This window comes from Homo sapiens, chromosome 15 (assembly GCF_000001405.40).
Source record: "Homo sapiens chromosome 15, GRCh38.p14 Primary Assembly".
NCBI lineage: Eukaryota > Metazoa > Chordata > Mammalia > Primates > Hominidae > Homo > Homo sapiens.
Window position 1 is genome coordinate 30,802,764 of NC_000015.10, and position 25,951 is coordinate 30,828,714.

At 41.4% G+C, this 25,951-nt stretch overlaps 1 long non-coding RNA gene and 2 pseudogenes across 2 annotated transcripts; all 3 read left to right on the forward strand.

Annotated features, from left to right (window-relative positions):
- Positions 1-10,494: 10,494 nt before the first annotated feature.
- Positions 10,495-14,403, forward strand: LOC124903453 (uncharacterized). Its single transcript, XR_007064554.1, has 4 exons — positions 10,495-10,582; positions 12,512-12,683; positions 13,767-13,911; positions 14,366-14,403. It is a non-coding gene; the product is annotated as an uncharacterized LOC124903453 (long non-coding RNA).
- An 869-nt stretch (positions 14,404-15,272) lies between these two features.
- On the forward strand, positions 15,273-25,020 carry HERC2P10 (HERC2 pseudogene 10; annotated as a pseudogene). The gene is made up of 5 exons (NR_072991.1): positions 15,273-15,338; positions 19,784-19,955; positions 20,834-21,008; positions 21,893-22,033; positions 24,937-25,020. The product of NR_072991.1 is annotated as an HERC2 pseudogene 10 (transcript).
- Positions 22,078-22,446, forward strand: LOC100629121 (endonuclease domain containing 1 pseudogene; annotated as a pseudogene).
- Positions 25,021-25,951: the final 931 nt, after the last annotated feature.

Consider the following 25,951-nt stretch of genomic DNA (forward strand, 5'->3'; position numbering starts at 1 on the left):
CCAGTCTGGACTGCAGCAGCGCCAACATGGCTCACTGCCACCTTCACCCCCTGGCTCAAGCAATCCTCCTACATTAGCCTTCAGAGTAGCTGGGACTGCCCGCCGGGCCCACCAGGTCAGGCTAATCTTTATGGTTTTTGTTTTGTTTTTTTGTTAAGAGACCTGGTGTCGGGGTCAGGCGCAGTAACTCACGCCTGCAATCCCAGCACCCCAGAAGGTGGAGTCCGGCAGATCACCTGAGGTGAGGAGCGGGAGACCAGCCCGAGTAACATGGAGAAACCCAGTCTCTACCAAAAAAATAAAAAAATAAAAAACTAACTTGGCATGGTGGCTCACGCCTGCAATCCCAGCCACTCTGGAGGCTAAGGCAGGAGAACCACCCAAACCCGGGAGGTAGAGGCTGCGGGGAGCCGAGACCGGGCCACTGCACTCCAGCCTGGGCAACAAGAGCGAAACTCTGCCTCAAAAAAAAAAAAAAAAAAAAGACCGGTTTCACCACGTTGCCCAGGCCGGTCTGGAACTCCTAGGCTCAAGCGATCCTCAGTGCTCGGCCGTCCAAAGTCCCAGCTGGGATCACCAGCGTGAGCCACCACGCCAGGCCAATCTATTCCTTTCTGATTAATAAATTGGGCCGGTCACAGTGGCTCATGCCTGGAATCGCACCACCCCGAGAGGCTGAGGCGGGTGGATAACCTGCAGTCGGGAGTTTGAGACCAGCCTGACCAATGTGGCGAATACTCGTCTATACTAAAAAAAAAAAAAAAAAAAAAATACAAAGTTAGCAGGCATGGTGGTTCACACCTGCAATTCCAGCCACTCGGGAGGCTGAGGCAGGAGAACCACCCAAACCGGGGAGGCGGAGGCCCAGTGAGCTGAGTCCACGCCACTGCACTCCAGCCTGGGCAACAAGAGCGTAACTCCACCTCAAAAAAAAAATACAAAAAAAAAAAGTGACCAGGTTTCACCGTGTTGCCCAGGCTGGTCTGGAACTCCTAGGCTCAAGCGATCTGCCGCGCTCGGCCGTCCAAATTCCTGGGGTCACAAGCATGAGCCACCACTCCAGGCCAATCTATTCCTTTCTAATTAATAAATTGGGCCAGGAATGGTGACTCAAGCCTGCAATCCCAGCACCCAGGGAGGCCGAGGCGGGCGGATCGCCTGCGGTCGGGAGTTTGAGATCAGCCTGACAAACATGAAGAAACCCCGTCTCTACCAAAAAAAAAAAAAAAAAAAAAAAAAAAAAAAGCCGAGCATAGTGGCTCACACCTGCAATCCCAGCCACTTGGGAAGCTGAGGCAGGAGAACCAACCAAACCTGGAGGCGGAGGCCACAGGCAGCCGAGACCACGCCACTGCACTCCAGCCAGTCAGCAAGAGCGAAATTCTGTCTCAAAAAAAAAAAAAAAAAAAGAGAAACCAAGTTTCATCATGTTGCCCAGGCCAGCCTGGAACTCCTAGGCTCAAGCGATCCCCCACGCTCAGCCATACAAATCCTGGGATCAGAATCATAAGCCACCATGCCAGGCCGATCAGTTGCTTTATGATTAATAAATTGGGCCTTGCGTGGTGACTCATGCCTGAAATCCCAGCACCCCTGGAGGCCGAGGCGGGCAGATAACCTGAGATTAGGAGTTTGAGACTAGCCTGACCAACATGGAGAAACCCCATCTCCACCAAAAAAATAAAAAAAGAGCCGAGCATGATGGCTCACGCCTGCAATCCCAGCCACTAGGGAGGCTGTGGCAGGAGAACCACCCAAACCCGGGAGGCAGAGGCCCGGCGAGCTGAGTCCACACCACTGCACTCCAGCCTGGGCAACAAGAGCAGAACTCCGCCTCAAAAAACAAAAACAAAAACAAAAAACAAACAAAAAAAGTGACCCGGTTTCACCATGTTGCCCAGGCTGGTCTGGAACTCCTAGGCTCAAGGGATCCAACACGCTCGGCTGTCCAAATTCTTGGGATCACAAGCGTGAGCCACCACACCAGGCCAATCTATTCTTTTCTGATTAATAAATTGGGCTGGGTGCGGTGGCTCACACCTGCAATCCCAGCACCCCGGTGGCTCATGCTTACAATCCTGTAGCAGGATTTTTAAGGAATTAGAGAGACTGATGGGGTTTAGGAGGTTATTAATTAATTATTTACGTGCATTGGCCCAGTCGGATTAACATTTAAAGCACTGAGTTCTGAACAAGACTTACATTTTAAGCATTTTATGGGGTGGGGGTAGATCTGTGCAGGATGAAGCATATGATAGAAGTGAGAAACAAAGATAATTGTTCAGTTGAATCATGCATTATATTATTTTTTCCTTTTTTAGGAAAAATATATTTTGTAACTTGAGTTAGTTTAGTGACCTTGCAGTTGTACAGTTAGGGAATTAGGGTTTTTATAATGCCCGGGAAGGGAGGAGAGATAAGGCTCACTGCCATAGAAAAACAGGAGGTAGTAGTTTTTATTGAAGGACTCCAGCTCCTCTCTTTCTCAGGGGGAATTGGGTTTTTTTACATACAACTGAGTTTTTGTTTACACATTTTTTAATTTCTTTTAATTCCTGTTCCCATCCCAGCACCATGAGAGGCCGAGGCAGGCAGATAACCTGAGGTCGGGAGTTTGAGACCAGCCCCATGAACATGGAGAAGCCCCATCTCCACCAAAAAAAAAAAAAAAAAAAAATACAAAATACAAAATTAGCCGGGCATGGTGGCTCAGCCTGCAGTCCCAGCCACTCAGGAGACTGAGACAGGAATATTTTCTCCCTCCCTTAGATAAAAGATAGCATATACCATTGTGCACTTTATTTGTTTTTTGACCTGGGGTGGGGTCTCACTCTGTCACTGAGGCTGGAGTACAGTGGGGTGATCTTGGCTCACTGAAACCTCTGCCTCCTAGACTCAAGCTGTCTTCCCACCTCAGCCTCCAGGGTAGCTGGAACCACAGGTGTGTGCCACCACACCCAGCTATTTTTTTTGTATTTTTGGTAGTGACTGAGTTTTGCCATGCTGCCCAGGCTGATATCGAGCTCTTGGGTTCAGGCGATCCACCTGCCTCAGCCTCTCAGAATGTTTTCAAAGTGCTGGGAATTACAGGTGTGAGCCACTGCACCGGCCCATTTTGCACCTTTTTAAACTTCTCTCAGAGATGACTTCATATCTGTTTATAGAAATGTTCTTCATCTTTTTTTAAATTAGTACTTTGTAGTGTGGATGTACCACTTTTTTATTCAGTTAGGTTTTTTTTGACATTTGAGTGTTAGGTCTTTTTTTCTGACATTGTAAGACTAAAATATGAAAAGGAAAACTGGAAAAAATTTCAAAGAAAATTTACCTAACTGTCTTTGTGATCTTGTTGTAGGGAAACTTTTTGTAATGATTAGTATCCAGTATATGAAAAATAGCCTAATAATGAAAAGGAAAACTTAAGACAAAATGGGCATAGGATGTGAAGAGTTACTTTACAGAGGAAGAAATTGGAATGGTCAGTAAACGTGGGAAAAGATACTTGAACCAGAAACTCATGGATAAATTGAAAGTTAAAATGACTATTCTGTCATCTTCAGAGTGGCAAAAATATAAGTCTGACAGAATTGCTGGCAGAGATATGGGCCAGTGGAAACTCAGCTAGGTAAAGTGGAGCGCAATTTTATAATCTCTAATGAAGTTGAAGATGCACATACCTGAGCAAAAAAATACATGTGTACAAAGAAATTTGGAATAACTGTTTATCACAGTAGTGTTTGCAGTAATACAAGATGATGCAGAATGTAAGTTAACCAACAAGAGATTGGATAATTAAACTCATATCCATGTGGTGGAATATTATACAGCAATTAAACATGAACATACTAGATTAAAAAGAATTAACATGGGTAAATCTCATGAAGAAAACTTTGGGTAAAAAAGGCAAGCTGCAGAAGGATATGGGCAATATAATAACATATGTGAGTAGTTCATTTCCATATTTATGTTGTTTCAATGTTTAAAAAAAAAAAGAGTTATTGGCCGGGCGCGAAGGCTCACGCCTGTAATCCTAGCACTTTGGGAGGCTGAGGTGTATCGGGCAAAATTCACCCCCGATATTTCACATGGGTTCTTTTCTATTTTCCCCAAGTGTCGGCCAGTCTGAGAAATAAAGGGAAAGAGTACAAAAGAGAAATTTTAAAGCTGGGTGTCCGGAGGAGACATCACATGTGGGCAGGTTCCGTGATGCCCCCTGATCCGTAAAACCGGCAAGTTTTTATTAGCAATTTTCAAAAGGGGAGGGAGTGTACGAATAGGGTGTGGGTCACAGAGATCACATGCTTCACAAGGTAATAAAATATCACAAGGCAAGTGGAGGCAGGGCGAGATCACAGGACCACAGGACTGGGGCGAAATTAAAATTGCTAATGAAGTTTCAGACACGCGTTGTCATTGATAACATCTTATCAGGAAACAGGGTTTGAGAGCAGACAACTGGTCTGACCAAAATTTATTAGGCAGGAATTTCCTCATCCTAATAAGACTGGGAGCGCTATGGGAGACCGGGGCTTATTTCTTCCCTCTGCTGTGACTGTAAAAGACAGCCGTCCCCAAAGTGGCCATTTCAGAGGCCTCCCCTCAGGGACGCATTCTCTTTCTCAGGGATGTTCCTTGCTGAGAAAAAGAACTCAATGATATGTCTCCCATTTGCTTTTGAAAGAAGAGAAATATGGCTCTGTTCTGCCTGGCTCACTGGTAGTCAGAGTTTAAGGTTATCTCTCTTGTTCCCTGAACATTGCTGTTATCCTGTTGTTTTTTCAAGGTGCCCAGATTTCATATTGTTCAAACACACATGCTCTACAAACAATTTGTGCAGTTAACACAATCATCACAGGGTCCTGAGGTGACATACATCCTCCTCAGCTTACGAAGATGACGGGATTAAGAGATTAAAGTAAAGACAGGCATAGGAAATCACAAGGGTATTGATTGAGGAAGTGATAAGTGTCCATGAAATCTTCACAATTTATGTTCAGAGACTGCAGTAAAGACAGGCGTAAGAAATTATAAAAGTATTAATTTGGGGAACTAATAAATCTCCATGAAATCTTCACAATTTATGTTCTTCTGCCATGGCTTCAGCCGGTCCCTCCGTTCGGGGTCCCTGACTTCCTGCAACAGAGGTAGGTGGATCACCTGAGGTCAGGAGTTTGAGACCAGCCTGGCCAACATGGTGAAACCTCATTTTGGGGTGTGGTGGTGCACGCCTGTAATCCCATCTACTCGGTAGGCTGAGGCAGGATAATCACTTGAACCGGGGAGGCGGAGGTTGCAGTGAGCCCAGATTGCAACACTGTACTCCAGCCTGGGTGACAGAGCAAGACTCTGTCACCAAAAAAAAAAAAAAAAAATCTCTTAGTTTCTGATGGTTTTCCTGACCATATATGTGATGCCGAAGTTGCTTTTTTGTTGTCACACCTATTGGCATCAAGTGCTGAACTTTTCATGGAGTGGCAATTTTTTGGTAATAAAGCAACTTTCAAAATGAGTCTAAGTTTATCTCTGGAAAAGTTTGAAAGAATCAGTGAAGGTTCTTTTAGACAGTACCCATGTTCTACAGATCAGCCATTCTCTCTCTGTCTCTCAAATTTTCAGTAAACCTTTCCACATAGGATGTCAGCACGATTTTATTAATACATTAAATATATGTAAAATAAGGCAAATTAAGACACAACTCCATCAACTCTCATCTACTCTGGGCTTATTTCTCTTCATAGTACATAACACCATCTACGTCATATGCTTATTGTCTGTTTCTATTAGAGCAGGGTATTTTTGTTAGTGCTGTTAGTGTGCTCAGCATATACAGCAGCACTTGGCAGACAGTAGGTGCTGAATGAAAGAATGAAGAAGAACAGAACTCATTTTACTAAAGACATTTTGATATCACTTTTGGGATAGGATACTATACATTAAAGATGATACAGTGTTTATTCCAGAATGGTCTTAGCTACAGTGTTCACAGCACAGTATTTGTATACTTAACGCTGTTATCCATTCTACCTTCCTTTGAGGTTGGCATGAGAGTTGCCCGTCAGCGTATGTGTGCTCTTAGAAATCGGGGACAATACTATTCATTTTAAGCTTCTTGGCAGTGACGTGTACTTAACTAGATGGTGAACTCATAGGTGGAGGGGGAGTATCTAATGCTTTCGTATTCTGCTTTTCAGCAAATAAATATTACCGTACTGTGTGTGTAACATGAGCTATATAAGTGTGTGATGATTAAATTAGAAGATAGGGTTCTCTGCAATCCAGTTTTCCAAGATAAATTTTTGCCTTGTTTTTCTTAGGTAATAAAGGTACCATATTGACTGTTGATATATGCCTACTTAGTCATGCTTCTCTTGCAGTAATCTTATCAAATTGCCAGCTTTTTACTTTTTTAGAGAGACAGTCCTAGAATTGAGAATCCTCTTTTGCCTACATTCAAAATAGACTATATTACGTGGGTAGGAAATTTCTGGTGACCTACTTTTAATTTTTAAATTTAAAAAAATTTTAGCATAGTTTTAGATTTAGAAAATAGTTGCAAAGGTGGTATAGAGAGTTTCTGTGTACCACACAGGCACCCAGTTTCCCCTGTTGCTAACATCTTACATGATTATGGTATATTTGTCACAACTAACAAATCAGTATTGATATATTATAACTAAACTGCATACTTTTAGGGGTAGTGACCCAGTTTTAAAGCTTATTTCCCACAATTTGTTAAAAATGACAATCAGCATTGAATGCCCATGGGTGGTGGCTTCCTGATTCTTCAAAGAAACTGAGTAATTTTGTAACCATTGGGACTTATCAGGAAATAAGGAACTCATAATAATGTGCGCTTAAATTTCCAGTGGAGGAATTGTACAGCTTAAAATATGTTTTTGTAAGTTGGGTATTAATAAAGAGGCTGGGTGGGGTTTGATCACTATTAATTCTGATTTATTTTGTTCCCTGGAAAATATGTTACTACCACATGGTCTACCCTTCATAGATAATCAATCCTAAGATCACTGGGTGGAAAAGGGTTGCCCTGTAGTAGGAAATGTGTCCTCCTGGGACTGAGTTGAGATTTAGTTTAGCACACAGTATAAGTAGCCAATGGCTGCTATGAGACTGACTTCTAGAATTCAAATTGGTATAAATTTAATCTAATTCTTTTCCCCAGGACTGCCCAATTTAAGATTAAGTTTTAAACTGGCGCTTATTAGAGATATGGCCATTTTGCCATTTCAGTGGAACCTTTTAATCAGCTTTAATGCTGTCTTAGGTAAAGTAAAAACTTAATCTAAGGGCTTTTCTAGTTTGCCATCCTCAAAGCAGAAAAAGCAGCAATGAAGCAGCACTGCCTCATATAGACTCTGCTTTTATTAAATTTGATTCAATAATCCTCTTCCAGTCATCTTTTGTGCTGCATATTTGAACCATAAAATAAACAAAAATTGTACCCAAATGAAAATTTCAAGTTATTTTAATGAAGCTCTGGAAACATCCCACAGCTCAGAAGATATTTTTTCCTAGTTTATTTTTTAAATTCTGGAAAGTAGGTCAGTAGACATACCCTGCTTTAATTGGTTTAATTAGAAGTGAAAAATTATAGGACTAACTCAATTTGAAGTATAGATTTCAATAAGAAGAATTATACTGGGATGAATATTATTTAAGGTTTTGAATTTAAGATGCATTTAATCAATGCTTATAATTTCCTCTTGAAAAGATTTATATTGCAAAAAGGAAGACTAAGTGTTGGAATATATCAATATACAGGGAAAAACTTTGCCATGAAATATAATATTTGATAAAATCATTTTAGAATTGTATCTCTAAATGGTATGCCTAAGAATATTGTTCTATAGGACCTTAATAGATATGCCTCGGGGGAAAAAAGTATTGTGTGCTCAAGTGAGTTTGAGATACACTGCATTAAATATAAGAAGTTGCCTTCAGGACTTCTCAGAGTCTTTAACACTTTCTGAATTTCTGAGACAAGATATATAGAGGGTACAGTACTTTGCAAACCTATTTATCCCTATACCACCTAGTAACATTTTTCAGGAAAATGTTTTGAGAACACGAATTGGACCTGTTTTAGGAATTTATACCTTTGACAATGTTGAGGACCTTGTTTTTTCCTATTATAATGATGATGTGATATTCACATATATTACTTTTTCCCAATTCTTTATCTTTAAGATATTTTTCCAATGTATTATATTCAACCCTCTGCTCAGTGCCTTCCTTCTGCTAACTGAAGTGGTGGTTTCCATCTGTTGCTACACATCAGAAATACCTGGCCCTGACCCTGGAGATTCTGTAAGAATAGAAATGCCAGAATACCTGCTCAGGATTCTGTATTTATTACAAACACCCAGGTGATTCTGATGCAGCCAACACTGGTCCTCCAACTGATGCTTTGGAATTGTTGAACTAAAAGCATGCCTTTTTTTCTAGATGGATGAGTAGATTGGGGCATAGTTTGTGGTCCTAGAACACATGGGTTAACCATCCATCCTAGTGAGAATGATAGCACAGGCCTCTGATGACCCCACGAGGTGCTGTGCTGGCTATAACCTAACATGAAACTATTATTATTCTTTAAGAAAAGCAGAATATGTCTAAATGGGCTTTTAGCCACCTTCCTAATAATGAAGTACCATATATATGATTACCATTTGTTTTAATTTCAAGTAATTCCCTTGTAGATGAGGTTTTATTTATTTATTTATTTGTTTGTTTGTTTGTTTGAGACGGAGTCTCGCTCTTTTGCCCAGGCCGGAGTGCAGTGGCGTGATCTCGGCTCACTGCAAGCTCCACCTCCTGGGTTCACGCCATTCTCCTGCCTCAGCCTCCCGAGTAGCTGGGACTACAGGCGCCCGCCACCATGCCCAGATAATTTTTTGTATTTTTGGTAGAGACGGGGTTTCACTGTGTTATCCAGGATGGTCTGGATCTCCTGACCTCGTGATCCGCCCGCCTTGGCCTCCCAAAGTGCTGGGATTACAGGCGTGAGCCACCGTGCCCGGCCTGTTCTTTAAAAAGAATATTAGATTATATTTTCTAAATGTGCCAAGTATCTAAGAATATATTCTTTCACCTCCTGCTGATAAGAGTTATACATTTAACCTTAAGCAAATCTGCCAAGATTCTATGTCATTTATGCTTTGATTTATGTGAGTATTAATGTAGTTTCTGTGACTATTGTATGGTTATATATACCCTCCACCTAGTAAAACAGTTCCATATTCCTGGAAATGGTCTTTTACATCCCACAAATGTAGCTGGAAAGGAATAATATAAATACTAATGGTTTGAGAGACAACTAGTCTTGACATGTCTTGGTTGAATAGTGTTCTATAAGCAACAATATATGAAATACTAGACACACCCATTAAAAGTAGAAAATACCCACTACTGTTCTAAAATTATTCTGCAAGATCTCACCAATGCAATGAGACATAAAACAGAAATAATGGGTGTAATTATTGAAAATTGGAGATAAAATTTTTATTACTTGCAAACAAAATTCTCTGTGTCAAAAACCTGATAAATTAAACAATACAATTAATATGTTTAATAGAACTAATTACATATGAGAGGCATCCAAAATCCATTTTTTCTATACAAACATGGTTTGATATACACAGTCTTGTTTTATCTGTGTATTAATTGGTTGATGAAATAATAAATGGAAAAATCAAGTATGCATTATCAGGTTAAAGAAGCAGGAGAGACAGAGCCATAAAAACAAAGAGAGAAGAATGTTGTAAGGAGGGCTTAACGACCAGGATAAATGTTGTAGAGAGATCAATTAAAGTGATGGCCTAGAGATCACAGGCTTCCTTTGGCAGAGCCATGTTGGTGAAGTGAAGGAAGTGGAAGCCAGACCACAATGGTTGAAGAATGAATGTAATGTAAGAGCCAAGACATTTATTTGAGTTTGATAGTAATGAAAAAGGACGAGAATTTTCTTCTTGCTGTTGTTTTTGTCATTTCATGTTCAAAACCCTTTATCTCCCATGTGGGACTGAAAACTCCAAGATGGGATCTCTGTTTCTGTGAGGCCTGTAGTGCTTAGTACATCCTTGAATGTGTGAGGCTCTCATTGGTATAAGTTTAATTCCTGACTGTGGATGAAAGCTTTAAAACTTTGTGGGCAAAATACAGAATGAATTTCAGTGAGTTCCCATGTATTAAACAAGGTGGCGCTGGCTGGAGACATGCTGTCCCTGTGCCCACAGGAGTAGCAGTGCTGTGCTCATCTTCCTGACCCGCTCTTCACAGTCTTCACCGCCTTTCTTCAGGAGTCTCCCCTTTGGCTTTTCCACAGCTATGAAACCCACGTAGTCGGACACCCTGATGCTTCTCCTGCAGGGCGTGTGATGAGGAGGTGAGCTTGGCTTTGGAGTGCTGGGAACCTGAGGAATTGCCAAGGACCCAGAGCCCAGCCCTGACCACCCAGAGAGCCCAAAACACAATGAACAAATTGAATTTCCACAACAGAGTCATGCAAGACCGCCGCAGCGTGTGCATTTTCCTTCCCAATGATGAATCTCTGAACATCATCATAAATGTGAGTAGATCTCAATATAATTCTGATAGCTGGAGGATAGTGTATTTTCAGGTTTGCTGGAGGAAAAAAACTGGACTTTAAATAATTAAGACAAAATGATTGTATTAATTGACTTCTATGCTTAATCACTAATTTCACTTTTTATATTTCCCTTGACTTTTGGGGGAGAAATAGTCTTTGTCTCAAAAGTGGGCTTCAGTGACCTATGGGTCTGATGAAGCAACCAGGGATAATGAGACAAGGATATTTAATGGCAACATGCCAGCAATTATTATTAGTTAATTGAAAGCGTTTATGATTTTGGCCTGGGGCCAATGCTTTCCCCCTCTGCTGGGCTAACATGTGGGTAAGGGAGAGGAAAAGCTTTGTTTCACTTTTTAAATAAAAGTATTACGTAACTTTGAAATTTGTATAAAATTAAAAGATAGTAAAAACAACTATTCTAACAGAATTCAAAACCTGTTATGCTTCAGTGGAGAGATTATTCAAGATAAGTCTGTGGGAAATTGGGAGTACATTTCTACTGGCAAAGTTAGTGATAACTATGCACTTCTGACAAAATGTGAAATGGGGGGTATGGGCGTGTCATATCATCATGGTGCAGATACGTGGATGTGTGCTTCCAAACAATGGCAACCTAACTGACTGCTGGAACCATACAAAATACCTGAAACTACTCAGAAAGAAGGTGAAAATTGCATGCAAAAATTATTTGAAAAATATTGAGCTAACACAACATGAATTTTGAATTATAAGTGAGGTATTGTAACTCACCTACAGATGTGTTTTTTGTAATCAATATTCATGGACTCAGACTACACAGTAAAAGCTTACATAGAAATCATTCTATCTAAACTTTCTGGATATGAAAGTAACTTACTATGTGTTTTGCTACTATATCTTTATATGAATTTAAATCACATTTCCAAGTGGCTTACAGTAATCAAGGTTAATTTGTCACAAGGAAGATGCAAATTAAAACCACATTGCAATATCACTGCACACCCACTAGTACGGTTTAAAAGAAAAAAAAACAAAATATCAAGTATTGGTGAAAATGTGGAGCAAACAGAACTCTTTTTCAATAATGGCGGGTATGTAAAGTGGCACAAACACTTTGGAAACCTGTTTGGCATTATACCATACTAAACCTGAACACATGCATTGTTTATGACCCAGGAATGCCCCTCCTGGGAACCAACAACAACGCATATATGTGTTGCATATGTTCACCAAAAGACATTTACAAGAATGTTCATAGCAGCACTATTTGAAATCGCCCCCAAGTAGAAGATGCACAAATATTTAACAGTAGTTAGATAAAGTGTGGTACGTTTATGCAATATAATACCATATAGAAACGAGAGTGAGGGATCTGCAAACTAATATGCAACTGTACAAATGAATCCCACAAATATAATGTTGGGTGGCAGAAGCCAGATGCAAATGAATACATGCTGTAGATTTCATTCTTTTACATTAAAAAAGCTAGTCACACAAAGTTATGCTGTTAGAAGAGAGTGATTTGGTCGGGCGCAGGGGTAGTTACAGGAAGGGAGTACACGGAGATTTCTGGTTGTTAGTTATGTTCAGTGTCAATCTAGGTGCTAAACAGGTACAATAAAGATTTTAGAATTCATCAATTTGCACACTTATGATAGATGCACTTTCCTGTATGTATATTTCAATACAATCTTTTAAAAAGTAAAATGACAAAAAGACACTATTAACAAAAATGACATATTACATTAACTGTTATACTAAGGAAAATATAAAAATGAGTTCTATAACAGGGGCTCTGCAGGTCATGTGGTCATGCCAAGGACCATATGTGCTCAAGATTCTCATGACATTTTGGAAGGAGGTTGGGCTTTCTTTATCTTTCCTTTCTTCTCTCCCTTCCCTTCCCTTCCCTATTTTTAAACCTAGGTTTGGTATTTTCCTGGGGTGATGGTGACTTTGGAAAATTGGGCCGGGGCGGAAGTGAAGGCTGCAACATTCCCCAGAACATTGAGAGACTAAATGGACAGGGGGTGTGCCAGATTGAGTGTGGAGCTCAGTTCCTACTGGCGCTCACCAAGTCTGGAGTGGTGTGGACATGGTACGTAAACGTCCTCCCCATCACAGTGTGCGTGCTTGTGCCGGTGCGTGCAGGGAACTTGGGCCTCGCCCCAGGACCACCCCGGCGTGATTGTGACCTGTCATATTTTTACTTATGCATGCATCTTTGTCCTTTAAAGGATATTGAGTCGGGATTAGTGACAATAGTACAAGAAGAAATTTCCTATTGTAACTGGGTCATTTTGAAAATACTAGAAAAATTTTAGGCCACTTACCTTTCCTGTTTGGGCGAGATTTATAGGAAGTGTTTCTTCTGCTGAAGCCTAAGGATAAAATGAGAGCAAAATAGCCTTCTGAATCCTTTGATCCTGAGAAAGTTAACATGTATTTCTTGTTAAAGCTTATTATATTAATGTGCAAAAGAGCAGGTGCCCAGACTGGCCTTGGATGCTGTGTCAGGCCTTGCTGCCTCTGGTCATAACATTGGCACTATTTATTTATTTATTTATTTGAGATGGAGTCTCGCTCTATCGCCCAGGCTGGAATGCAGTGGCACAATCTCAGCTCATTGCAAGCTCCGCCTCCGGGGTTCACACCATTCTCCTGCCTCAGCCTCCCGAGTAGCTGGGACTACAGGTGTCTGCCACCATGCCCGGCTAATTTTTTTGTATTTTTAGTAGAGATGGGGTTTCACCGTGTTAGCCAGGATGGTCTCAATCTCCTGACCTCGTGATCCACCCACCTCAGCCTCCCAAAGTGCTGGGATTACAGGCGTGAACCACCGCGACTGGCCAACATTGGCACTTTAAGAAAGATGTATACTAGATAGGACTTTGGATAGGTGTTTGCAGTAGTGTGTCTTATTTTCAGTCTATATGAAAACCTACAACAGTAACTTAAATATTGTAGAACATGTATTAAGGTATTAAGGTTTTTCCCAGCTGACTTAATAAGTTAATTTGAATTAATGGTGTATGATTTTGAATACAAGTTCGAAGACCTTGGGTGCTGTGTGTGATGTCATTGAGCTGGCTGTGAAAGATGTGAGACAATGAGTGTCTTCTTGTATCGCATGGTAAGACCATAACCGTATTGTAACACTCCACCACGGGCCTCCTCTCAGGGGAAAGGGGGATTACTTCAGGTTGGGCCACCGCTCTGACGTGCACGTTCGGAAGCCGCAGGTGGTGGAAGGGCTGAGAGGGAAGAAGATCGTGCATGTGGCTGTCGGGGCCCAGCATTGCCTGGCGGTCATGGACTCAGGGCAGGTAAGGCTGCAGGTGGCCTGGGGGTGGCGTGCCATCCTGACTTGGGGGACTTGGGGGTCACGACACGGCCCTCGTCCTGTTGAAATCGCAGCTGTTGATGAAATCAGCCGAGTCTTACTGCTTGAAGAACCATGGGGGCGGGACCCGTCCCTTTTGCCCGCTGGTGCATCTGCCTACTCAGCAGCAGGGGTTGGGGGCGGGGTCCTCAGAAAAGAGGCGTTCCCACTCTGAAGTCCACGTGAAAAGTGTGTGGAAAGATTGTTATTCTTTTTATTATTATTTTTTTTTTGAGACAGAGTCTCGCTTTGTCGCCCAGGCTGGAGTGCAGTGGCGCGATCTCGGCTCACTGCAAGCTCCGCCTCCTGGGTTCACGCCATTCTCCTGCTTCAGCCTCCCGAGTAGCTGGGACTACAGGTGCCTGCCATCGCTACCAGCTAATTTTTTGTATTTTTAGTAGAGACAGGGTTTCACCGTGGTCTCGATCTCCTGACCTCGTGATCCACCCGCCTCGGCCTCCCAAAGTGCTGGGATTACAGGAGTGAGCCACCGTGCCCGGCCAAAAGATTGTTATTCTTGAAGATGCTCCTACTGCAAGGTATTAGCAAGACTTTGCTTTAGAGAATTGCTAACTGGCAGGAGGGATCCATGCCTCATTTTAGAGACAGAGCTGGTGCCTGACAAGTGTTACACTCTCTTCTGCTTGGAGAAGCATACGCTATGACCGGCCTGTGGATATTCAATTTAAAATTTTATTTATGAAAACAAAATTACCATTACTGTTTTTTTAGTCAAAATGAATTATACTTTATAATTCTATAAGGCCAAGGAGCAACTTACTTGAAAAATGAGCATATTATTTTTGGTCATTTTTCTTTGCAAAGTAAAAGGGAAAAAATTATTGCACTTTTTTGAAGAGAAGACCTTCTGTGTGTCTTGCAACAAAACAGAATTAATTGGATTAATATTAAGAAAATACTCTTTTTATGGTTATTGGCAAGCATTTTCATGGTTAGATTTTCTTCAGAATTGTAGTACACTGATGCCATTTTGTAAGATTGTGAAATGGTTTGTTTTTACTTTTCAGAACTCAATTCTTTCAACTACCATGGCATACACGTTAAGCATTTTGAAGTAAAAATTACATTAAAGAAAATGTCCTGAAATGTTGAAAAATTATAAGCATTTTTCCCCTCATAAACAGGTGTATGCTTGGGGTGACAATGACCACGGCCAGCAGGGCAATGGCACGACCACGGTTAACAGGAAGCCCATGCTCGTGCAAGGCTTAGAAGGCCAGAAGATCATGTGTGTGGCTTGCGGGTCGTCCCACAGTGTGGCGTGGACAACTATGGATGTGGCCACGCCCTCTGTCCACGAGCCCGTCCTCTTCCAGACTGCAAGGGACCCTTTAGGTGCTTCCTATTTAGGTAACACAGATTTGCATCTTCTCTGAGATTTTCCAGTAGGTTACAGCAACCTTATATTTATTTAATTGTGCCAACACATTAGAGGTTGTAGTGCCGTGTTAACTACATTATGAATCTAAAGACACAGAAGAATTATGGTGTGCTCTCATGCGATTTATACATGCTGGAATGAAAGTTTTAGAAGAAAGTATGTTGCTGATTCTTGTGTTTATGATCAGGTAAACTCACAGCGCTGTACTTGTGTGTGAACAGGACTCCTAATAACTGCCTGAGAGATACAGGCACTGTACTGGGCTCTTTTGTATTTTTTAACAGCTTTATTCAGTTATAATTGACATATAATAAACTGCACCTATTTAAAGTATGCATTTTGATCGACTTTGGAATATGTATGATCCATGAAAGCATCAGCACAATCAAAGATAATGAACTCATACACTACCCCAGCGTTCCTCTCTGGCCCTCTGTACCCCTCCCTTTTGCTTTTAACTCCCTCCTTCCTGCCGTATGCACCAATTTAATTTCTGTCACTAGAGATCAGTTTGCATGTTTTCTTTTTTGTTGTTGTTGTTGTTTTGTTGGGTGTTTTGTTTATTTGTTTGTTTTCTTTTTTTTTGTAGACCGGGTCTCACTCTGTCGCCCAGGCTGGAGTGCAGTGGCATGATCTCGGCTCACTGCAGCTTCCACCTCCTGGGCTCAAGTGATCCTCCCACCTTAGCCTCCCAAATAGCTGGGACTACAGGCACATGTCACCATGCCTGGCTAATTTTTGTTTGTTTGGTGGAGACATGGTTTTGCCATGTTGCTCAGGTTGGTCTGGAACTCCTGAGCTCAAGTGATCCTCCCACCTCGGCCTCCCAAAGTGCTGGGATCATAGGCAGGAGCCACTGTGGCAGGCCAGTTTGCATGTTTTACAGCTTACTATAAATGGACTCATACAGCATATACTCTTTTTAAAAATCTTACTTTTTCCACTCAGCATAATAATTTTGGGATTCACTTATGTTGCATGTATCAATAGTTTATTCTTTTAAATTGTTGAATAGTATCTTAAGATAAACAAATGCAATTTGTTTATCCATTTTTCTGTTGATGAATGTTTGGGCTGTTTCCAGTTTTTGACTATACAAGTGAAATTGCTAATGGACATTTCCGTACAAGTTTGTGTATGGACATCCACTTGAAATTCTCTTGGGTAAACTTCTAAGAGAGGAGTGGTTGGATCATATGGTAGGTGTATGTCTAGCTTCTTAAGATCACTACATACTGTTTTGCAAAGTGGATGTTCCAGAGGTCCAGATCCTCCACATTTTTGTCAACCCTTGATACGTTCAGTCTTTAATTTTAGTTATATTGACAGATGTATAGTGGTATCTCGTTGTGGTTTTAATCTGCATTTCCCTAATAACTAATGATCTCAAGCATCTTGCTTATTTACAAATCAGATACCTTTTTTGGTGAATGTCTGTTCAAGTCTTTTCCTATATTTAAATAGGTTGATTGTTTTCTTACTGAGTTTGAGAATTCCTTATATATTCTGGGTTACAAGTCCTTTGCCTAATATAGAATTTGCTAATATTTTCTGGCAATGTGGCTTGTCATTTTATTCTCTTCACAGGTGAATCTTAAAGATTAGAAGTTTTTAATTTTGATGAAGCCTAGTTTATTCATTTTATTCTTTTGTAGAGTGTACTTTTGATGTTGTGTCTACAAAACCTTTGCCTCAAGATTATAAAGATTCTCCTTCTATGTTCTGTTATAGAAGTTTTATAGTTTTAGATATGTGTATCTATGACCAGTTGATTAAATTTTATATATGGTGGGAGGTTCAGATTGAAAGGCTTTTTTGGGCATGATTGTCCAGTTGTTTCAGTTGTATTTGTTGAAAAACTATGCTTTTCCTAATGAATTGCCTTTTGCCTTTGTCAGAAATCAGTTGTCTGTAGATGTACGGATCTATTTCTGGACTCCCAGTATGTTTCATTGATTTATTCGTGTATTTTGTTGGCAATGCCACATTGTCTTGATTACTACAGCTTTATAAAAGGCTTGAACTCAGGTTGCAACAGTTTTTTAGCTTTGTTCTTTTTCAAATATATTTTGGCTGTTGCAGGCCCTTTGCATTTCCATATGACTTAAAATGAGCTTGTCAGTTTTTATAAAACCGCTTGCTTGGGAATTTGATATGGATTGCATTAACTCTGTAAGTCAATGTGAAAGGATGGATTCACAGTATTCAGTCTTCTAACCCATGAACATAGTGTTTCTCTTTATTTGTTAGGTGTTTAGTTTCTCTCAGCAATGTTTTCTAGTCCCAGTGTTGTATAGGTCTTGTATATCTTCTGTTAGATTATCTCTAAGAATTTCAGATTATTAAATGGTCTCTAAAAATATCATTTCTTCTACTGTATGGGAATATTCACATTGCTCCTTGCTAGCATGTAGAAATAAATACAATTTTTTTTTAAAGTGAACCTCATCTTGTCATACAAATATTTTGTTTTTTCCCCTTATCTCTCAGGAGGGGACATTTAGGCTCCAGCAGCATCTGCTTTTATGAAAAACTGGAATGTGACTTTCTGGCTGTGTTAGTTACTGGCTGTAAGAACTGGGGCGAGTAGCTTCGCCTTCCTGTGCTGTCTTTTCTGGGGTAGATGAAGATAAGGCTTGACTCTCCTCTTCTCCTTTCTGGTTCAAATTACTCAGTATCTTCTTAACATATAGCTCTTTTCATGTCACATTATGGTATAACTTTTGAGTTTGGCTTTTTCCACTCAGCCTAATCCTCTGGCAATTCATCCAAGTTGTTACATATTACGTAGTATGTTCAGTATTCCATCGAATACTCAATCATCGAAGGACATCTGGATTATTTCTAGGTTTTGGCTGTTACAAATAAAACTGCCATGTCATTCATACACAGGTGAATGTGAAAATTCACTTTTTGTGAAAATAAATTCTTATTTCCTTGACATAAATGCCCAAGAGTGTGATTGCTGGTCACGTGGTAATTATGTTTAGTTTGACAAGAAACTGCTCAACTGTTTTCCAGAATCGCTGTGCCATTTTATATTCTCATTAGCAGTGGAGGATGATCCAGTTTTTCCCATATCCTCACTATCTTTTTAAAATGTAGCCATACTGATAGATAGGTCATTGTATCTCATTGTGGTTTTAATATTTTCCTTATGGCTAATTATGTTAACCATCTTTTCATGTGCTTATTTACTGTCCATATCTCCTCTTTGGTAAAATATGTCTTCATGCCCTTTTCTAATTGGCTTTTTTTTTCTGTTGAGTTTAGAGAGTTCATTATATATTCTAGATGTTTCTAGTCCTTTGGCAGACATGTGTTATGCAAATGTTTTCTCCTGGTCTGTAGCTTGTCTTTTCATTTCCTTTCATTAAAAAAATGCTTAATTTTGATGAAGTCTAATTCATCAGTTTTTTCTTTTATAGATCATACTTTTGGTGTCAAGTCTATACTTTTGCCTAGTGCTAGATCCTAAAGACTGTCTCCTATTCTTTTCTAAAAGATTTATAGTTTTGTATTTTCTACTTAAGTCATGATCCATTTGGATTTAATTTTGCATAAGGTGTAGACTTAGGCTGAAGTTTGGGTTTTTTGCCCACAGACGTCCAGTTGCTCCACCACCACGTGCTGAAAGGCTGTCCTGCCTCCACTGAGTTGCTTTTGCCCATTTGTCAACAGTCAGTGAGGCATATTTGTGTGGTTCTATTTCTGCGTTCTCTGTTTATTCCTTTGATTCTTATGCCAGTACCACACAGTTTTGATTATGGTATTACAACAACTTTTGAAATTGGGTAGACTCGTTCCTCCTTCTTATTTTTCTATTTCTATTCTTGCTCCTTTGCCTTTCCATATACATTTTAGAATAATCTTGTCTCTTGACAAAAACTCTTGCTGGAATTCTGGTAGGAATTGCATTAAATCTGTGTATCAGTTTGGATGAGTTGACATAGACACATGTCCCAGCTCCACCTGGCTCCCTCCCTCTACTGAGACCTGGGAGTTCGCAGGGAAGTGAGCCTGATGGGACTTTATTGGTGAACATCTTCTCTCTTTGTTGTTTTGTATTCTTTTTTCATCTTGCCTTACCAGGGTAAGAAAATACAGGTAGTTATTGCAGCATTTTCATAGCTTATATGTATATAACATAAACGGTTGTAAGTGCATTTTATAAAAGCACCTACATCTTTTTGCAGTTACAGTTAAACTTTGCTGAAAATAGCTTCTTTATCGAAGTATGGATAAGTGGTTTTCTTATTCTGAAGGCCTGTTAATGAGCCTAATATGTGCCCTGTGAAATAGCAAAATGCAGATTGCAGTGTGTTTTGGAACTAACCTATAAGGTCAGATATTATAGAAATAGAGCAAACTGTGATCTTAAAAACAAAATGCAAATTTTATTTTCCTGTTATAGGCGTGCCTTCAGATGTCAATTCTTCTGCTGCCAGTAATAAAATAAGTGGTGCAAGTAATTCTAAGCCATATCACCCTTCTCTTGCCAAGATTCTCTTGTCATTGGATGGAAACCTGGCCAAACAGCAGGCCTTATCGCATATTCTTACAGCATTGCAAATCATGTATGCCAGGTAGGTTTCTGTGCTAATTTTTGAAATTCTGCAATTATGTGAGCTTCAGGTTTTTGTGATTTTTTTTTCATTGATCAGATGTCTCCAAGAATGTTGTATTGTTGTCTTTAAATGCTGTGTGTTGTAAGTCACGTGTTCTTTGATGGTGATTGATATCTTTGTGCATGTTTTAATAGGCATTGAAATATGAATTAGAAAACTAACTTGAACATTTTCACTATTCTTTTTGACCAGTAGACTCTAACCATTAATATTTGGGGGAAGAAAAGAATTAGGTGATACTAATTTATAGTGATGTCTAAGACGACTTAGCGTCCCCTTCACTCACTTTGAGAAGGCTGTTTTGCCAATGCAGCATTTTGCAGTATTTTTCTGCTGCTTTCCCACAGCCTAGATAAGTTGCCCATCTGCTAATGTATCACACATGTGGACCTGACAGGTGTCCTTACATAGGAAAATTAGTTTCAGAACAAAAACATTCAGTAGAGGCTATTGAGTCCTTGCTGCTCAGTATGTGGCTTTCAGTAAACACAAAATTGCCTGCTGGTCAATTATCCAGCCCTCAGGCTCTCACAGCAGCCCAAGAGGATTTCTTTCTCAGGGAGAGCCAGAGTCTCATTCTGGTCTGGTTTTTATGTTTGGCAGTTTTTCACCTGTCATTACTCTGGTTTTTCAAATAAATAGGATCCAGAGTAAACATTTTAGCTATTAGCCAAAGGATACATGGTAATAATGTTTGGTAGTTTTCCAAAACTCTTCTACATGTATTCAGTAAAAATGAGGAAACGCCTCAGTGCGTGCTAGTCCTGCCTCACCACTTCCTGTGGTGCAGTGGAGAAGGGGCAGCTCACCACAGGCCTGGCTTTGTGTCCTGACAGAGATGCCGTAGTGGGGGCCCTGATGCCGGCCGCCATGATCGCCCCGGTGGAGTGCCCCTCTGCGGCTGCTTCGGACGCATTTGCGATGGCTAGTCCCATGAATGGAGAAGAATGCATGCTGGCTGTTGATATCGAAGACAGACTGAGTCCAAATCCGTGGCAAGAAAAGAGAGAGGTAAAAGCGAATCGTAAAGCAGTGTTACATCAGAAAGGAAAAGGTGGCTACTTTGTGCCTAGGAAAGTCTCATCCTGTCATTTAGTTTAGGCTGTTTCTGTGCCTCCCGCTTTGATTTTTGGATTTACTTAGAAGAATATTCTCGGTGAAGGAGCTTTTAAAGTGCTTACGTGCAATTAGATTTCTTTTTTAAAAAAATCATGGCCGAGCGCGGTGGCTCACGCCTTTAATCCCAGCACTTTGGGAGGCCGAGGCGGGCGGATCACGAGGTCAGGAGATCCAGACCATCCTGGCTAACATGGTGAAACCCCGTCTCTACTAAAAATACAAAAAATTAGCCAGGCTGGTGGTGGGCGTCTGTGGTCCCAGCTACTCGGGAGGCTGAGGCAGGAGAATAGCATGAACCCGGGAAAGCAGAGCTGGCAGTGAGCCGAGATCGCGCCACTGCGCTTCAGCCTGGGTGACAGAGCAAGACTCTGTCAAAAAAAAAAAAAAAAAAAAAATATATATATATATATATAAGTTCACAGTCCTTTATCTGCAATTCTGAAACCTTAAAGTTCTGAACTTTAGTAACTTACTTTGGGGGAAAGAACCAACTTGAAGATACGTGAACTCATTTTAGTCTGGTTCATGTGACCTGCTGTGAATATTAATAGTTTTTCTTGAAAATATGAATGTACTCGACTTTGCACAATTGTCCTAGGCCCGACTGGGGGTGGTAGTGGCTATGTCGGGTAGGCACCATGTTACCTCTGTAAAATCTGGAACATTCCAAACAGCCCAAGTAGTTTTAAATAAAGCATTTGGGACTTGAGTAGGAAACGTGTTATGTTTTTGAGTTTTTCCACTTAAACTTCCCCTACTGTGCACTGTTCGACTAGATTGTTTCCTCTGAGGACGTGGTGACCCCCTCTGCAGTGACTCCATCGGCCCTCTCAGCCTCCGCTGGGCCATTTATCACAGTGACGGATGACCCGGGAGCTGCAAGCATCTTTGCAGAAACCATGACCAAAACTGAAGAGGTAAAGAGGCATTCTTTTTTCGCTTTGTATTGTGAAATTACCAAATGGCAGGTGGAGCCGCAGATCGATGACCCCAACAGCAACCTTGAGGAGGTGATTAATGAGGCAGAGGCCATCACCTCTGAGAACAGCCTGGGATGTAAGCAAGCCTTGAATACAGATTACCTTGATTCTGATTACCAAAGAGGACAGCTGTACCCTTTCTCCCTTGGCAGTGATCTCCAGGTGGCCGCGTTTATTCTCACAAATTCAGCCCGATGACTCAGTCCTTCCAGGAATGGTGGTACGTGAATCTCAACAGCCTAATGGACCAGGCTTTGACCCCACAGTGTGGCAGTGGGGAAGACCTATATATCCTCACAGGCACAGTGCCCTCAGACTACAAAGTTAAAGACAAAGTGGCTGGGCATGAGATGTCCTTCCTGGCTGCAGACACTTCATCCATTTCTCTGGGTGGCTACTTGGTGTGGAGGAAAGTCTTACTCTGTCACTCAGTTTAGGCAGTTTCTGTGCCTGTTAGGATTTTTGGCTTTAGTTAGAAGAATATTGTCTTTAAAAGAACTTCTAAAGTTTATAAGTAGAATTAGATTTTTTAAAAAAAATCATTAAATGCAAGTTCATAGTCCTTTATCTGCAATTCTGAAACGTTAAAGCTCTGATAGTCAGAAATTTTAGTAACTTACATGATCACCAAAACGATAAAGTACTTAAGTAGAGTTGAGCAGTCTTGAAAGCACAGCAAAGATTTATTTGGTGGATATTTTAGGGGCTTGTTATTTCTTCATCTGCTATTCATGAAGAACTAAAAAGCTGTAGGCTTCCTTTTTTCTACTTTTTTGAGACGAGTTACTTGGTGTAATTCTGAGAGATGAAATCGAGGTGAATTGCCTTAAGCACTATTATTATTTTTCATAAGTTTATTGCATTTGTGAGAGGGAAGGGTATGAATCAGAACTTCGATTTATAATAATGCTGAGCATTTGCCATGCACATCCCTGCATTCTCAGTACAGATAGGAGGGGTTACCTTTATATATGGATGAGGACACTGAGGCTGAGAGGTTATTACTGGCTTGAGGACACTCACTTTTCTGGTAGGTGGAAGAGATGGGTTGGAACCCTGAGTGCTCTGAGCCCCAGCTCCGTCATGACCCTTCTGCAGATGATGCGCTTGGCAGAGCAACCTTCTGAAGGCCAGAGCCCCTGGTCGACTCTGCATATGGGCGCTTGATGATGCCAACATCTGCTTTCAGTAACTCAACCAGGTTCCAGGAGAGACAGGAATAAGGATATGGCCGTTTTCATACTGCCCTTGCCAGATTGGCAAGATGGCTATTTCTGTGTCTTGCCCTGACCTGATATTTGCGACTCAAAAAGAGAGACAAATTTAGATTTAAAATCATGCCTATATGACAATGATATTAGTTATTAATATATAATATATTTACTAAGCAAAGCTATTTCTTACCTAAATGTGAGGAAAAATTGAAAAAAGAATAATCTATTTCTAAAAAGTATAGAATGGGCATTAGAAGAATTTTATTTTTTCTGGATTGAAAATTTTGGAGTTAATAGATTATTGCTATTATGATGTATTCTCTCATTTATTTTTAAAAATAACAGCTTATAATCACTCTTAACTTGAATTGTAAAAGATGTGAATCACCAATAATTTTTAAAATAAAATAAGAACACTGTGGATTGTTGAGAATGTGGTATGGGTCTGACCACTAGTGTACTGGGTCAAGAGGGGCAGCTGTGTTGGGGTTGGTGGTCCCTCCTGTCACAGACTCTCCCTGTCTCTGTCTGGCCTGGGCAGCTTGATGGTTCCTGATTCCCGCCCCTCCCACTGGGCTCCCTTGCCTTCTAAGATTGTGGTCATTTTCACGTACTGGGTGCTCCTTCCCTTGATGTTTTTGTTTCCGAGGCCAACTTTACTCACTAGGAAGTAATTTTGTCTTGGTGTAAAATGAAGCTATTGTCACCACGGTGTTTCATTTTATCACCTGGCACATATTAAGTGTTGTGTGTGTTGGGAGCCTTCCAACTACTTTTTTTTCTTTTCTTTTTGAGACAGAATATCTCTCTGTCGCTCAGGCTGGAGCGCAGTGGCACGATCTCAGCTCACTGCAACCTTCACCTCCTGAGTTCAAGCAGTTCTCCTGCCTCAGCCTCCTGAGTAGCTGGGACTACAGGTGCAGGCCACCAAGCCCAGCTAATCATTTGTATTTTTAGTAGAGACAGGGTTTCCCCATATTGGCCAGGCTGGTCTTGAACTCCTGACCTTAAGTGATCTGCCTGCCTCAGCCTCCCAAAGTGCTTGTATTACAGGTGTGAGCCACTGTGCTCCACCCAATGACTTTTTTTTTTTTTTTTTTTTGAGACGCAGTTTCGCTTGGGTCACCCAGGCTGGGGTGCAATAGTGCAATCTCAGGCTCACCACAATCTCTGCCTCCCAGGTTCAAGCGATTCTCCTGCCTCAGTCTCCTAAGTAGCTGGGATTACAGGCATGCGCCACCATGCCCGGCTAATTTTGTATTTTTAGTAGAGATGGGGTTTCTCCATGCTGGTCAGGCTGATCTTGAACTCCTGACCTCAGGTGATCCGCCTGCCTCGGCCTCCCACAGTGCTGGGATTACAGGCGTGAGCCACAGCGTCTGGCCCCAACGACTTTTTAATATAGATCATCTCTAAGCTTCACAGCATCTTACAAGCTCTGTGCTGTCTCTGTTTTATGTGCAAGGAAGCCAAGCCCTGATTTGAACTCAGTTTCTCAAACTCCAAGCCCTCCACTCTGCCACGCTGTCCTTGTGGAGCTCCTGAGCAGGACGGGCAGAGGTGGCATGCAGGTGACCAGGTGTGGGGCTGTTGGCCCCCTCATTCATGTCATTGCTTCCTCCCCAGGTGGCAGATATGCTGTTGGAGCTCTGTGTCACCGAGTTGGAGGATGTGGCCACAAGACTTGCAGAGCGGCCGCCTCTCTTCTCAGCCTGTGGTGGTGGAGAGTAGCCACCCTTACACCGACGACACCTCCACCAGTGGCACAGTGAAGATACCAGGTACGGGGGCTGGCCCCAGGGGGGAGCTGCAGCCTTTCCCACCTTCAGAATGATGTGATTCTGTAATTGCTTCAGTAGAAACAACCGTCTCCATTTTATAAAAAAAAGTTACAGACTTGCTTTAGAATCATTTTTCTCCCCTTTTCCAACAAACTTCTTTTGCACAATAAATCATGACACAGAAAGTCACACAAAGTAAATGTTTAGCTTCATGATAATCAGACAGATGCCCTAGTCATCATGACCCAGGTCTAGACATAACCTGTGGCAGATTCTGGAAGCCCTCAGCGTGTCCCCTGACGTCCCTCTGAGTGATGCTCTCCTGATGTTGAGCCATCACTGACTTGCATTTCTGGGCAGCTTCTTTTACCCATGTGTGTATCTTTCTTTTCTTTTTCTTTTCCTTTTCTTTTTAACAACTCAAGAAAAATTATTAAGAAGAAAATTGTTGAGGCCCCGGCCTTTGATCTGGCAGGCTTCACTGCAGCCTGGATCTGCTGACTGGACACGTGTGCTGCTGTTCAGTGTGTTCCTCAGGCCCGTCCTTCTGCAAGGTGCTGCCCGATTCGGAGGCCCATAAGTTCCGCCCCTTTTGCCAGCTCCTTAGTGGTTGTGACTCAGCCTCAGCAGGCACCTCCTGCCTGCCTGTCTTTCCTTTGTGACATCAGCAGTCCCTGAGGCTTATTAGCACCCGAGGCCGTTGGCCCATGAGGGGCTACAAATGGTGCTATTCTAGTGGAATCATTTCTTGCTTATTTATTAGCTGGAATACTTTCTTGTAAAGAGACATTTCCCCTCATCCTACAGTTGGTTGCCCAGGCAAACAGCACTGAGAAAGACAAGATAAAAGCTTGAGTCTT